At 48.1% G+C, this 15,665-nt stretch overlaps 2 protein-coding genes across 9 annotated transcripts in view; one reads left to right on the top strand and one right to left on the bottom strand.

Moving 5' to 3' along the window:
- Window positions 1-14,379, bottom strand: part of AP1B1 (adaptor related protein complex 1 subunit beta 1) — a 60,891-nt gene extending 46,512 nt beyond the window's left edge. For all 8 annotated transcript variants that reach the window (NM_001378565.1, NM_001378564.1, NM_001378566.1 and 5 more), the window contains exon 1: window positions 14,233-14,379. The gene's annotated coding sequence lies outside the window, so the exon portion shown is untranslated. The remainder of the gene's footprint in view (window positions 1-14,232) is intronic.
- Window positions 13,718-15,665, top strand: part of RFPL1 (ret finger protein like 1) — a 54,547-nt gene continuing 52,599 nt past the window's right edge. Inside the window, exon 1 of the mRNA NM_001393612.1 lies at window positions 13,718-13,905. The gene's annotated coding sequence lies outside the window, so the exon portion shown is untranslated. The remainder of the gene's footprint in view (window positions 13,906-15,665) is intronic.

Raw genomic sequence — 15,665 nt, forward strand, 5'->3', positions numbered from 1 at the left:
ACTCTGTCTAAAAAAAAATTTTGTTTTTAAAAAAATAACAAAATAAAACTCAAATCTGGAGAAGAAAGGAAGAATGAAACATTGCATCCAGAGGAAAGTCTTTGGAGTGTGACATCAAATCTGGAAATCTTAAAAGAACCATGAATTCAATTCCATAAAAATTGAGTTTTCCTGCATGGCCAAAACAATAAAAAGCCAAAAGCCGTATGATAAACATACTCACTAACATTTGCATCACATTGCAGACAAGGCCTATTTTCCTATATAAAAAGTGACTACAAATAGGAGAATGGCAGAGGATGTGGACAGTTCACAGAAAGTGAATTAATATAATGGTTCAAGCTTATTTCTAAGAGACACAGAAACTGAAACTACGGTGAAATATAACCTGTCAGCTGCTGAACTGATAAAGAGCCAAGAGTCTAATAACACCCCATGTTGGAGCTGACATAGGTAAATAGGCGCCCTCATTTGAGGCTAGTGATAGTCTGAAACGCTACAACCTCTGAAGCAAATCGGTAACAGCCATTAAAATTGCAAAGGTCCTTACCCGTTGACCCAGTAATTCTGCTTCTAGGACTTTACATGTGGAAAACTACGTAGATACAAAATTATTCATGCAACATCCTTTCTAATAGCAAAATACTGTAAATGTCCATCCACAGGATTGTTTTAAAAAATGACAGCACAGTAGAGCTGGGCACATCTGTGGCTCCAGCTACTCAGGAGGCTGAGTGGTGAGGATAGTTTGAGCCCAGGAGTTTGAGGCCAGCCTGGGCAACACAGTAAGACCCCAACTCTATACATAAATAAAATGATAGCACAGCATATGGACATATGGAATACTATACAACCATGCAAAAGAATAGGCAGTTCTGGCCGGGCGCGGTGGCTCATGCCTGTGATCCCAGCACTTCGGGAGGCCGAGGCAGGTGGATCACAAGGTCAGGAGTTCGAGACCAGCCTGGCCAACATAGTGAAACCCCGTCTCTACTAAAAACACAAAAAAATTAGTCGGTGTGGTGGCACACGCCTGTAGTCCCAGCTACTCGGGAGGCTGAGGCAGGAGAATCGCTTGAACCTGGGAGGCAGAGGTTGTAGTGAGGTGAGACTGTGCCATTGCACTCCAGCCTGCGTGACAGAGTGAGATTCCATCACAAAAAAAAAAAAAAAAAAAAAAAAAAAGCATCTCAGATTTCCCCACAGACTTCCTCCCCTAATTTGGGATCTGTCCTGTTGAATGCTGTCAACCCAGTGACTGCCACGATGCCTGGCACATTCTAGGAGCTCACCAAATGTTTGCTGGCAAAATGAATGAAAAGACAGTTTCCCAGAGAAGCTACAAAACCAAGGGCCCAAAACAGATTAAGATGAGAGAGCTGTGACAAGTGCCAGACAGTGATGACTGGGCAGACCAGACTGGGAACATAAGGCTTTGCAGTTAACATGGCAAGGCTGATGCAATGTCAAGATGGCTGCCAGGAAATCTGGCCCTACTACCAACAGCTGTGTGACCCTGGGCAACTACCCCCATCTCTGGGCCTGCCTTTCTCCAAATGTCAAACAAAAGAATATGATTAATCAATGGCTCAAGTCCCTCTCTACTCTTAAACCATTTCAAACAGATAAAAGTGGAACTGTTCTGGTGGAAAGAAGGGTGGGAGGCCTAGAGCCTGGCTCATTTCACTATGCCTACCTCTCCCCATCCTCACCACGGCCCTTCAGACATCCCGTGGTTCTATGGAGCAAAGCTTGAAAACCAGTCTACTGAATGACAAATCTCTCCCACATCTCACATTCTATGATTCTCTGCTGGATGAGGGGCCCATTTCCCTACCAATGAGTGTTCTTCCCAGGTGTCAAACACGAGGAAGTAGAGTATGATCATTCTAAGAACATGACATAAGATGTTTCCAAAGGGAAAAAAAGAGAACAAATTCAGAATGCAGCCAAGGCCAGCAAACCCCATTAGGTCTTCTGTAGGAAGGAAAACAGTAAGAAGCCAAACAACAGAGTGTTTCAATTTCTCCAAATGGCCAGCCAATGTCAGGGGAAGGCCTTTTCTAGTCTCCGGGCAATGATTCATGTCAGAGCAGCCCATGCTCTTCAATCAGATGAGAAGTGTGAAGTTGGTGGTGGCAGCACAAGGCACTGCACACTCTTGGCACTCAGTGAATTAATGAAGGAGACCATCAGTGTGGTGAGATGAGGCAGAGAAAAAGCTTTAGGAAAGGAAAAGGGGAAAGAGACATTTCACAAGGTCAGATCCAGTTGCATCTCTATCTCTGAACTCAAGGACATTCAAGCAGGGAAAACTGATCTCTGAAGGTCTATGTTGGTGGCTTCCAACTTTGGTACTGGAACTGCCACTGTTAAACACTTCCCTAATGAATGAATAGCTGTCAGAAACCTGCTCCATAGAACCTGTTAGCTCATGGACAGTCAAGAGGAAGTTAGGGAAGAGTGGAAAAAAAGGGGCTGGGGTGATGCCACTGTTTCTTCTTCATTTGGAGCAGAAAGGCCAAACTTTGTTCATTCCATGTGTTTTGCTGCTTTGGTTCTGTTTCAAAGGCAGAGGTTAATTCATTTGACAAGTATTCCTCTACTCTGTGCCATGCCCTGGACTGTGTACCTGCTCCCACAAAGCTTAGAGTTCGTTAGAGATGATGACGCTATTCACCACTCCTCATTTGTCTGACAATCTCCTTTTAAAAAGGGAAAGGGGCCGGGCATGCTGGCTCATGCCCACAATCCAGCACTTTGGGAGGCCGAGGTGGGAGGATCACTTGAGGTCAGGAGATTGGGACCAGCCTGGCCAACATGGTGAAACCCTGTCTCTACTGAAAATACAAAAATTAGCTGGGTGTAGTGGCAGGTGCCTGTAATCCCAGCTACTCGGGAGGCTGAGGTGGAAGAATCGCTTGAACCTGGGAGGCGGGGGTTGCAGTAAGCCGAGACCGTGCCACTGCACTCCAGCCTGGGTGACAGAGTGAGACCCTGTCTCAAAAAAAAAAAAAAAAAAAAAAAAAGGAAAAAGGTCCTTATAGGTAAATACTTAAGTTCACTTTACAGACAGGGAAACAGGTAAGGCCAGCTGGAAGACTAAAAGGTGAGTCAGCAGTAGAAAAACCAGATTTCAGACTTTCTCTCTGAGAAAACGTGGTTACCAAATTCAGACAGGCTCTTCCAAGTCAGTTCAATCACTATGAGAAAATAATCTGTGTTCTTTAGGCTCAGCATGAAATTTGGAACAAAGGTGGCAGTGGTAGTAGTAATGGTAAATGGATGTGCACCATGTGACAGACACTATGTAAAGAGCTTTAAAGTTAGTCCTCGTGGAAAGGCGTGGTGGTTCACATCTATAATCCCAGCACTTTGGGAGGCTGAGGCTGGCAGATCATGAGGTCAGGGGTTTGAGACCAGCCTGGTCAACATAGTGAAACCTGTCTCTACTAAACATACAAAAAAATTAGCCAGGCATGGTGGCGGGCGCCTGTAATCACAGCTACTCTGGAGGATGAGGCAAGGAGAATCGCTTGAACCTGGGAGGCGGAGGTTGCAGTTAGCCAAGATCGTGCCACTGTACTCCAGCCTGGGTGACAGTGCGAGACTCTGTCTCAAAAAAAAAAAAAAAAAGTTAGTCTTCACGATAATCCATGAAGGTTTTAATATTATCACAAGTTTACAGATGAGGAAACTGAAGTACCAGGGAGGTCAAGGCATTTGTTTGGAGTTACACAGCTAGAAAATGGCAGTGCCGGCACTCTCCACTGCTGCCCCCTAATAAGGTCACACATGTCCCACTCTGTCCAGCAAGGCAACTAACTGCTCCTCTCTGAATGAAGCCCTGGCAGAAATATACATGCTCTAGGGTAAAGGGTATGTGAAATGGGTTGCCACACATCCCTGCAGAGTCCCTCAGATGTTGAATTACAGGTTATTTTAGGGCCAGCCCAGCCGGTTTGGACAACAGGGAACGTCAAGTTTGGTCATGTGCCTAGTGAAAGCCTATCTGGGTGCGCTTGCCAAGTTATGGGCCTCCTGGGATTTGGATGAAAACTGATTAGTCAAAATCAATCTCCTGGCCGGGCACGGTGACCCACACCTGTAATCCTAGCACTGTGTGAGGCTGAGGCAGACAGATCTCTTGAGCGCAGGAGTTCAAGACCAGCCTGGGCAACATGGCGAAACCCCATCTCTACAAAAATACAATTAGCCAGGTGTGGTGGCATACATCTGTAGTATCAGCTACTCAGGAGCCTGAGGTGGGAAGATTGCTTGAGCCTGGGAGGTTGACGCTGCAGTGAGCTGTGAATGTGACACTGCACTCCAGCCTGGGCGAGAGAAAGAAACTCCGTATCAAAAAAAAAAAAAAAAAAAAAAAAAGGCCGGGCGCAGTGGCTCACGCCTGTAATCCCAGCACTTTGGGAGGCCGAGGCGGGCGGATCATGAGGTCAGGAAATCGAGACCATCCTGGCTAACACGGTGAAACCCCATCTCTACTAAAAATACAAAAAATTAGCTGGGCCTGGTGGCGGGTGCCTGTAGTCCCAGCTACTCGGGAGGCTGAGGCAGGAGAATGGTGTGAACTCAGGAGGCGGAGCTTGCAGTGAGCTGAGATCGTGTCACTGCACTCCAGCCTGGGCAACAGAGCAAGACTCCGTCCCACAAAAAAAAAAAAAAAAAAAAGTCAGTTTCCTGAGGCCCACTAGCAATTAAAGACTTCAGAATGAAAAGGAACTAAAGGCAGACAAATGTCACATGCAAACGTTCTTATATTGGCTTTGAGTCTCTAGAACTCCATTCTAGAATCAGGTACCAGTTCTGAACTGATCTATAAGCCGTAATGTGCGGAAAGATCTGCTGTGAAGAAAAAAAAGTGATGGGCGCAGTGGCTCATGCCTGTAATCCCAGCACTTTAGGAGACCGAGGTGGGCAGATCACTTGAGGTGAGGAGTTCGAGACCAGCTTGGCCAACATGGCGAAACCTATCTCTACTAAAAATACAAAAATTAGCTGGACATGGTGGCTCGCACCTATAGTCCCAACTACTCAGGAGTCTCAGGCAGGAGAATTGCTTGAACCTGAAATCGCACCACTGCACTCTGGCCTGGGTGACAGAGCAAGACTCCATCTCAAAAAAAGAAAAAGTTCCTCTGGACTTGAAAATAAAGTAAGTAAGGCTTCTTCTGAACAATACTTAAATTAATCGAGATGAGGAGAAAGAGGCCAGAGACTACAGAACAACGCTCTTTGTGATCTCGGTTTTCCCATCTATGTAATGGGAACACTTTCTGAAGATCTGTCAAATTAACAGTGTAGAGCACCATCCGCTCCATGCCTGGAACTGTGCCCCACACGGAAGCATGCACACAGTAAACAAAGGACAGTCTTTTCTCACTGAGCTCTTACAGATTTAGAGGCCAGGTAAAGGACTGCAGGGGAACGGCAGAGTGATCATGCCTCCAGAGGAGGAGGGTTCTGAGATAGGTGGAGCAGCAAGGGAAGTTCTCTTAGATGAAGAGGGGCTTGGCTGACGCAAAAAGACAGGTCAGATTTAGAGAGGCAAGAGTGGAGGTGGCAAAGAGATGCACCACGAAATTGCCAATGTGACAACGGAGGGAACTGACAACAATTAAATCAACACTAGCTGGGGAACGGCTTCTTGCTAAGTGATTTACAACCCTTCTCATTTAATTCTCAGGGTAATTCAGTTAAAAAACAAGGAATTAGAGACACTGAGAGATGAGTGATTTACCTAAGGCCAAAACAAGAAGTCTGTGAGCCCCGCTGCCTGGCTGAAGGAAAGGACCTGGAAGGGAAAGGAGCAGACGAGGCTAGGGAAGGAAGAATGAGATTCAGAAATGGTTCTGGATGCCAGGTGTGTTGGGTCCTGCCAGGAGAAGACACAATGGTCATGTCAAATGACAAGTCTCATGCTGATAAGCATTTGACACTACTGATCACTCCCTCCTTCCTGAAAACCTGTCTTCCCTCAAATGCTAGGATGCCATGCTCTCTGCCTGCCCTCCTACGCCACTGTCTGCGCCTTCTCAGTCTCCTTTGCTTGTTCCTCTCCTTCTCCTTCAACACTGTGTGCCCCAGGGCTCAGGCCTGGTACCTCTTCTCTTCCCCATCTATGCTATTTTGCCTCTTTGGTGGATCATCCGGTATCACAGCTTTACATACCATCCACATAGCCCAACCTCTCCCCAGAACCCCCGGGCACACATGTCCAAACTGTGTAACTGACATCTCCACATTACTGTGGAGATGACTAGCAGGCAGCTCAAACAATGGGATAAAAACTGACCTCCTGCTTCCTTCCTTTCCCCAACTGGCTCACCCTGCAGTCTACATCATCTAGTTCCTGCCAGCACCATCTTTAAGAGGGCCTCAGGCTAAAAACCTGAGTCACTCTTAACAACATACTCTCCTTTAAATCTATCGGCAAATCCTATTGGATTCCGACCTTCAAAATGAATCTAGAATCCATGAGCAGCTTCTCACTAGCTCCATCACTAACCCCAGCTCCAAGCCAGCATCACCTTCCATTTAGAGTGCTAACAAAGCTGCTCCCACACTGCTTTGCTGACACCCCATCTCAGCAACAGCCAGGATGATCCTCTTACAGTCCAAATCAGACAGTAGCACCCCTCTGCTCAACGTCTTCCAACGGTTCTCTGTCTTACTCATAGTAAAAGCCAAAGTCCCTACCATGGCCTCATAGCCCACAGGTCCTATAAGAGATGCATGCCCCTCCTCTCTCACGCATGCACCCTGCTGGCCATTACCCTTTGAACTCTTCTCCCCATCATTCCCTCAGCTCCAGCCGCACAGGCCTCTTTACTGATCCTCGAACACAACATGCATCCACCCCAGGGCCTTTGCCCGTGCTATTCACTTTGCTAGGAAGGCTCTTTCTCCAGACAGCCTCATGGCTCAGTCCCTCACCTCTTTAGGTCTTGGCTCAAATGTCATCTTCTCATTGAGGCCTTCTTTGACCATTTTATTTAAAATTGTATACCCCTCCCCCATAATCCCCACCACTTCCTAACCCTCTTTGCCCTTTTTCCCTTCAAAGTACTTATTACCTATTACCTACACACTATAAAATATACTTACGTTGTCTATTCTTTCTCCCCCTATAAATTCCCTAATGTAAATGGGGGTAAGGATTTTGTCCATTTTGTTCACTATCATATTCCTGACTCCTAGGCTGGTACCTGGCAAACAGGTGTTCAATAAGTAGCTGAATGACCAGTGCTCAACTCTCTTCTTGGGCAAATTTCATGTTTTGTAAACCAACCTCTGCTAGAGCAGCTTCTCCATGTTCCATTCACGGGGTTATCCAGGATCAGAGATACATCTGCTCTGATTGTCAAGCTATTCTAACTATACTGAAATTGAACATGCCAGACCCCTAGCACATTTACAGCCAATAAATGGAAGTTAAGTGAATAAATTATGAGAGAGAGAAGAAATGGCAAGGGTAGAAGATCAGGTGGCAACATCTCCAGTGGGAGAAACGTTCAGTGAGGCCAAGTCACTCTCACCTGCTCCCATAGGTATCAGCTCAGAGTGACAGAGCTGCAGAAGGTGGGGGGCTCTGGCACAGGATATAAGTACCAGGTCCTTGCCTCCAGGCCCACATGCCTTCTTTGTTCCTCTAACAGCCAACTCTTCACTATCTCTACCCTTGCTGATCCTTCTGCTTGGATTATCCTCTCCTAACTGCTCCAATTTATCCTTCAAATCTCAGCTTAGATGATCTCATTTCAAAGATAACTTCCCTTCAGCGTGATACCTCTGATGCTTAAAAAAAGAAACAAAAAAAAAATACCTTTCCTACATGTACTATCTTTTTTGTTGTTGTTGCTAGAGACAGATAGTCTTGCTCTGTCACCCAGGCTAGAGTGCAGGGGTGTGATCATAGCTCACTGCAGCATCAAACTACTGGGCTCAAGCAATTCTGCTTCAGCCTCCTGAGTAGCTGGGACTACAGGCGTGTGCCATGCCCAGCTAATCTTTTCAAGTTTTTTGTGGAGTCTCGCTAAATTATCCAGGCTGGTCTTGAACTCCTGGCCTCAAATGATCCTCCCACCTCAGCCTCCCAAGTAGCTGGGATTACAGGCATGAGCCACGGCACCTGGCCATGCATGTACAACCTTAAGAAGGTATTTCTCTGTCCACATCCTTCAGTGTTCTTATTCATACATTTCCTGAGCATCTTTCGTGTACCAGAAACACTTCTACATGTTGGGAATGCAGGAGTGAAAGAAACAGACAAAAATCCTTCCCTACATGGAGTTTATGTCCTAATGGGGGAAAGAGACCGTAAGCAAGATAAGTGAGTAAAATATATAACATCTTAGATAGTGATAAACACAATGGAGGCAAAAAAGAGGAGGGAAGGAGGATAGGGAGGGGAGAGGGGAGGAAGGGAAGTTAAAATTTAACTAGGGTGGCCATAGAAGGCCTCCTTGAGAAGGTGACAGGTGACACTGTCTGCGAAAGAGCCTGCCAAGCAAAAGAGATCGCCAGTGCAAAGGTGAGTATGTGCCTGGCATGTCTGAGGAACAGAAGGGAAGTGAATGTGGCTGAGTGAGCAATGAGGAAAACAGTGGGTCAGGAAGTCACAGGAGAATGCAGGGGGCCTTATGATCAAGCGTGAGGTCTCTGGCTTTTACTGAGTGAGCTGGAGCCACTGGAGGGTTTTGAGCAGAGGAGTCCTGACATCTGACCTATATTTTAATAAGTTCTGGCTGCTATGCCTTTTGTTTCCCTTGTGGCTTATTGGTTTTTCTAATCATTGCATTTTTTTCTCTACTTCTTTGTCTCTCTCTCCCATTAAAATGAAGTAAGCAACTAGAGGGCTTATCTGAAGCCTGAAGCCATATCTGGCCTGTTGACCTATCAGCATAGGCCAGCACCAGGCATTAGCAGGCCTCGATAAATACTGAATGAATACTGGACTTAGAAAGTCTCTGTCCTCAGTGTCCCAGCAGCCAGCCACCCAATACTCGGAGATCGGGCAATGAAGACCACCACAGCAGCAGACCCAAGGCTGGCTCTACTGAAATTGTGTTATTCTGCTCCCAATAGGCTTAAGATCCTAAATGTAAGGAGGGTGTGGTAAAAAGTATCTACCACCCAAGTCTATTCCTCTATGGAACTCAGCTACTGAAATGCCAAAAATGAACACTGAAGGTTCAGTTTTAAAGCTTTTGAGACCTGGGCCGGGTGCGGTGGCTCACGCCTGTAATCCCAGCACTTTGGGAGGCTGAGGTGGGCGGATCACAAGGTCAGGAGATCGAGACCATCCTGGCTAACACGGTGAAACCCCGTCTTTATTAAAAATAGAAAAATTAGCCGGGCGTGGTGGCGGGCGCCTGTAATCCCAGCTACTCAGGAGGCTGAAGCAGGAGAATGGCGTGAACCTGGGAGGCAGAGCTTGCAGTGAGCCGAGATCACGCCACTGCACTCCAGACTCCGTCTCAAAAAAAAAAAAAAAAAAAAGCTTTTGAGACCTGACTTTCAAACCTACCACCTTCCAGCTCCGAGTCCACAGGGTAGACTGTGGTAATTGGTGGTAACCTGGGGGATCAGTGACTAAGGCATCCCAGTAACTGATGAATTCTGGGCCTTGTGGGGTCAACCCAGAGTTAGGCCACACTCATACCACAACTAGGAGAGGCCTCCCTTCCTGACAGAGGTCAGAGGTCAAGTCCAAGGCTAAAGACCCAGACAGCATGAGGTGTAGGAGTGTAGAACCATAGCCAAGTCCTTCCTCAGCTCCACTATATAAGAGGGGACAATCTAAACACAAGGAGTGGGTAGGTGAAGGCAGCCATTGCAGGTAGGACAGGGGCTCTCCCAGGTTCTACAAAGCAAACAGGCACAACTGCAGCACAACTGTAAAATGGGAACTACAATGTTACATGCCTGAAGGGTTTGTGAGGCTAAAACAAGTCAATACATACCTAGCCCTTAGCAGTGCCCGGCCCACAAAATGCCTGATAAATGTTAGCCACTATTACTACTACCGAGAGAGAGAGAGTTTACCACTTCCCTGCTCCGTACCAGATTCCCAGGTCTCTGGAAGCCCTGAAACACCCTGATGGCTGTCTGGTGGTACCAACTGTAGTTTGAAAGTAGTCTCAGCACTGATCAGATTTCTCCCTGTCTCTATGAGGTGACATGAGGATGGACAGGAGATAATCTAGAAAGTGCTTTGAACCCCTTAGGAGTCAAGGAATCCTAACAATTCAATGCAATATTCATTCATTCACTCATTCAACACCTGCTGAGCACCAACTATGTACCAGACACCTCACTAGGTGCTGGAGACGTAGTTAAGGCAGGTCTTCGTCAAGGATTAAAAGCTATTTACTGGCCAGGCACGGTGGCTCAAACCTGTAATCCCAGCACTTTGGGAGGCCGAGGCAGGCGGGTCACTTGAGGTCAGGAGTTCGAGACCAGCCTGGCTAACATGGTGAAACCCCATCTCTACTAAAAATACAAAAATTAGCCAAACATGGTGGCAGGTGCCTGTAATCCCAGCTACTCTGGAGGCTAAGGCATGAGAATTGCTTGAACCCGGGAGGCGGAGGTTGCAGTGAGCCAAGATCGCGCCACTGCACTCCAGCATGGGCGAAAAAGCGAGACTCTGTCTGGAAAAAAAAAAAGAGCTATTTACTTAGAAGAGAGCCAAATAAACAATCACAACCCACTGTGACCCTTGCCAGAGGGCATCAAGGAGGGGCATCTAGCTCAGACCTAGGGGTGATGATCAGATGGGAAGAACCAAGTAGCACTCCAGCTAGGCAGGTAAGGTTGGGAGAGCAGGAAATGGTGTTCAGGCAGAGGGAAGAGTGCAAAGCAAAGACAGAGAGGTATAAAGAGTTGGGAGGCCAGGTGTGGTGGCTCACGCCTGTAATCCCAGCACTTTGGGAGGCCCAGACAGAAGGACTGCTTGAGGCCAGGGGTTTGAGACCAGCCTGAGCAATATAGCAAGACTCCATCTCTACAAAAAATAAAAACAATTTGCCAGGCACAGTGGCACCCATCTGTAGTACTAGCTACTTGGGAGGCTGAGGCAGGAGGATCGTTCAAGCCCAGGAGTTGGAGCCTGCAGTGAGCTATGACAGCTCCACTGTACTACAGTCTGGGTAACAAGCCAAGATCCTGTCTCGAAAAAAGAAAAAGAGTTGGTGCTTGCAGAAGTAGCAAGTAGCTGAGGTTGACTGGAGCTTGGGAAAAGGTGAGTGTGGAGCAGGAGAGATGACAAAAGAGAGCTAGGCAGGGGTCAGAGTCCAAAGGGCCTTGAATGCCATGCTAAGGAATGTGAGTTTTAGCCCGAGGGCAACTAGGAGCCACTGATGAATTTTCAAGCAGAATTTTCTTTAAGGATTCCCCAACTGCTCTGTTGACATTTTTTCTCAGGAGTATTTGTTCCTCTCCATGTGAAGACATAAAGAACAGAAAAATCACTTCTGGGCTGTGATAATATCAACGATGTCTCTTAGGCAAAAAGACCTGCTGAGAAAAAGAAATGTCTGCAAGGCACAGATGTCACCTCAACCTTCAGAAACACAGCGAAGTGCAAAACCCAAGCCATGTTTGCTTACTGTCAGCATGTCAGGCTTTGGTGCCAGACACGGGAAGTTCCTGGGAAGTAGTTAAGACATGCAAGAGTTTCAGAGGATGACTAGAAAAAGATGCAAGCCCAAGCTCAAAGCCAGAAGGACCAACAAATTGAACTTGTTCTGAACTACTTTTAGGAAGTGAAACAAGAAGGGTGGAAAAAGTCCTGCGTACATTAAGGTCTCTGTTTGCAGAAGGAAGTAACGCTCCAGAAGCCAAGGTTGGCAGCCTTCCTCAGACACAGGCCCCCAGCAGGCATCAGTCTGCCTAGAGTCAAAGCACCCAAAAATCACAGGCCCTGCACAAATTTTCCCATCTAACCCTCACACAAACCAGGGGTAGAGGAGTCAGAAAGGGTGGCCAGTATTATTTTAGAACTGAGGTAAAGGAGGGCCAGCCTATGTCAACGGTCCAGGTCAGGTCACACTGCCAGGAAGCTGCTGAGCTGGGGTTGAACCCAGGGCTGACTGACTGGGAGTCTGGTGATCTTTCCATCATACCTCTGGGCTCTTGAAGCAGCTCAGGGTGAAGCCTCCACTGACCTACACTCAACAGATGATCTTCACACAATCTCTGAGGGATCTGACTCTTTGAGACCTACTGAAGATGCTCCTCATGACAGTTTCTAAGAGGTCAGAGGAGACTGGTGGGCTCAACTCAGGACAGAAAACCAGAAGCTCTGAGCTCTGCTCATGTTCCTACCCTCTGTGACAAGTTGCTTCATCTCAAATCCTCCCTTGGAAGGATGGGAATATAAGGTGACAATATTAAGTTTCTGTGAATTCAATGGAACTAGGAGAATAGATCACACAGCTTAAAAAAAAAAGGTATTACAGTAATATTTATATACAGCTTTCTTCAGAAGCCATGTGGAAGCCCTCACGGGTTCATTCACAGGTTCATACCCCTAGGAGCAGACAGGAAGGCGGCAGGTCTTTCTCATGTTGATGTCAGGGAAACTGAGGCAGAATTGAAGCAAGTGAATATCCGCAATGGAATGAGGCTTAGATTCATACAGCCTAGTCCTCCAGCCACCAAACCGTCTCACCACCTCCCAAGTAAGACGTGCTCTGCTCTGGCAAGAAGCCATGGGGCCTGCATATTTCTCAGAAAGGCAAAGATTCTTCCTCTGGGTACCTTCTTCCAGAACCTAGGACCAAAAGATCCCCTAGAGGTCATGTGGTTCCTCTCTTTTTAGACCAAAACGAATGCAGCTCAACCACTCTGAAGAGAAGTTCTCGACAATCTTCAAATAGTTTTCACGGATAGCCTGTTTTGTGTCTCACTGTTCCCTAAAGTCAGGAAAATCTTAGACTCTTGCCCTGAAAGGTATCACTAATAGCAACAGCCTGTAGGATTGTTTTATCCTAAAGAAAGTAAGTCGAATGCCCCTTATGAAGATCAGACAAAAAGCAATAAGGCTACATCGTGACATAAATCCAAATAAATACAACGGCAGCTAAAAATCTTTTTTTTTTTTTTTTTTTTGAGACGGAGTCTCACTCCGTGGCCCAGGCTGGAGTGCAGTCGCACGATCTCGGCTCACTGCAACCTCCACCTCCTGGGTTCAAGCGATTCTCCTGCCTCAGCCTCCCAAGTAGCTGGGATTACAGGCGTACGCCACCATGTCTGGCTAATTTTTGTATTTTTATTGGAGACAGGGTTTCACCATGTTGGTCAGGCTGGTCTTGAACTCCTGACCTCACGATCCACCCGCCTCAGCTTCCCAAAGTGCTGGGATTACAGGCGTGAGCCACCATGTCTGGCTAAAAGTCTTAAATATCCCCTACACCCCAACCTTAACTCCAGTCTTTCCTTTGTCTCTGTACTTTGCAGGTCTCTGACAGCCTGGCAGAAAACCTGGCCTTGCCTCTACTACCCGAATGACCTTACATGTGGGATTTAACCTCTCTGTGCCTCAGGGTCCTCATCGATAAAATAGGGATATTTAATCCCCACAAAGGTTGCTGTGAAGTTTAAATGTGTCATTGTAAGGAAAGTGCTTAGCACAGTGCCCGGTACACAGAAGGGACTCGATAGCCACTAGCAAGCATCTCCCTCGTTATTTTGCAGCATTATCACCGGTGTCTCCATTCAGTTAACTTGTCTTAGAGGCTCCAACAAACAAGACCAAGCCAGTGCCTAGCCGGAGGCGGGCGGCACGGGACCGTTTTCTAGTTTTTTTTTCTTTCTTCTTTTTCAACCTTGGCAAAGAGATAACGCCCTGAACAACGAGGAGGCCTCAGGATGGCCATGGAGGTGAGTCCGAAAGAGGAAATCAGAGCCCGAAGAGTTTTCCCTCAGGCCAGTGGGGAATTCCTCGGGGCCTAAGTCCTGTCTCTCCGGGCGGAAGCCCCAGGAGGTGCTGCGGGTATGGGGCGGCCGAGGAACAGGCCGGCGGCCAAGTGGGCGCGAATGAATGAACGAACCCTCAGCCCTTCCTCCTCCTCTGGCTGGGGACGTCGCTCGCGCCCCTGCAGCGCCGCGTCCTCTTCATGACCTCTGACCCCGCAAACCCCTCACCTAGGACCCCTGACCCCTCGCCCCACTTCTTCTCCTGGCTCGCCCGGGTCCCCGCTTCCTCACCCGCAGGTCCCAATAGCTCCCGGCGCCCCGGCTCGGTTCGGCTTGGCACCAAAATGTCCGCGGCCTCCACCTCTCGCTCTCCCGGTGCGTCCGGGCTGCCGGCGGCTCGGAGCCCCGCGGCTGTCACCTGCCGGGCGGAAGTGAGCTGCCCGCGCGCGGGTACTTCCGGTGGACGCAAGGCCTGAAGGCGGGGTCAAGGGTACAACCCTGGCGGGGGTGGTGCCCGTGGGGCGGGGCAAGAAAAGGGGAAGAGCCCAACGGTATTAACCCCTCGGCAGCCGCGGCGCTGCTATGCTGCAGTCTCCCGCAGAGCCCTTGGGAAACCATCCCGCTAGCCAATTCAGCGTGAGGGGGCCGGGCAAGGTCGTAGGGAGTTTGAAGTCCATCTTCTGTGTAAAGACGGCAAATCTGAGGTTCTAAGAGGGGCAGGGTTTTGCTCAAGGTCACTCATTTTTTGTTTGTTTGTTTGAAATAGGGTCTTGCTCTGTTGCTCAAGCTAGAGTGCAGTGGCTCGAAGATCTGGGCTCACTGCACCCTCCGCCTCCCAGGCTCAGGTGATCCTCTCACCTCAGCCTCCCAAGCAGCTGGGACCACAGGTGCGCAGCACTACGCCCGGCTAATTACTTATTATTTACTTATTTATTTTTTGTAGAGAGAGTCTCACTTTATTGCTCAGGCTGGTCTCGAAATCATGGACCCGAGAGATCCTCCCGCCTCGGCTTCCCAAAGTGCTGGGATTACAGAGGGGTCTCTCTCTGTCCAAACTAGGTTTACAGCTCTAGTTTGGACCCCTCCATTCTTAAGATGAGTGACCTTGAGCCAGACACAGTGGCTCATACCTGTAGTCCCAGCTACTCGGGAGCCTGAGGCAGGAGAATAGCTTGAGCCCAGGAGGTTGAGGTTACAGTGAGCTATAATTGCAGCACTGCACTCCAGCCTGGGCGACAGATCCAGACCCTGTCTCAAAAAAAGAAAAAAAATGGCCGGGCATGGTGGCTCACACCTGTAATCCCAGCACTTTGGGAGGCCGAGGCGGGCGGATCACAAGGCCAGGAGATCGAGACCATCCTGGTTAACATGGTGAAACCCCGTCTCTACTAAAAACACAAAATATTAGCCGGGTGTGGTGGCAGGCGCCTGTAGTCCCAGCTACTCAGGAGGCTGAGGCAGGAGAATGGCGTGAACCCGGGAGGCAGAGCTTGCAGTGAGCCGACATCACACCACTGCACTCCAGCCTGGGCGACAGAGCAAGACTCCGTCTCAAAAAAAAAAAAAAAGAAAAAAGAAAAAAACCATCTGCAATCCCACTGACCTAAGACAATCACTTTTAATATTTTGGTGAATATTCTTCCAAACTTGATAGATCATTTGTTTTTTTTTGTTTGTTTGTTTTGAGACAGGGTCTCGCTCTGTTGCCCGGACTGGAGTGCAGT

This window comes from Homo sapiens, chromosome 22, assembly GCF_000001405.40.
Source record: "Homo sapiens chromosome 22, GRCh38.p14 Primary Assembly".
Lineage (NCBI taxonomy): Eukaryota > Metazoa > Chordata > Mammalia > Primates > Hominidae > Homo > Homo sapiens.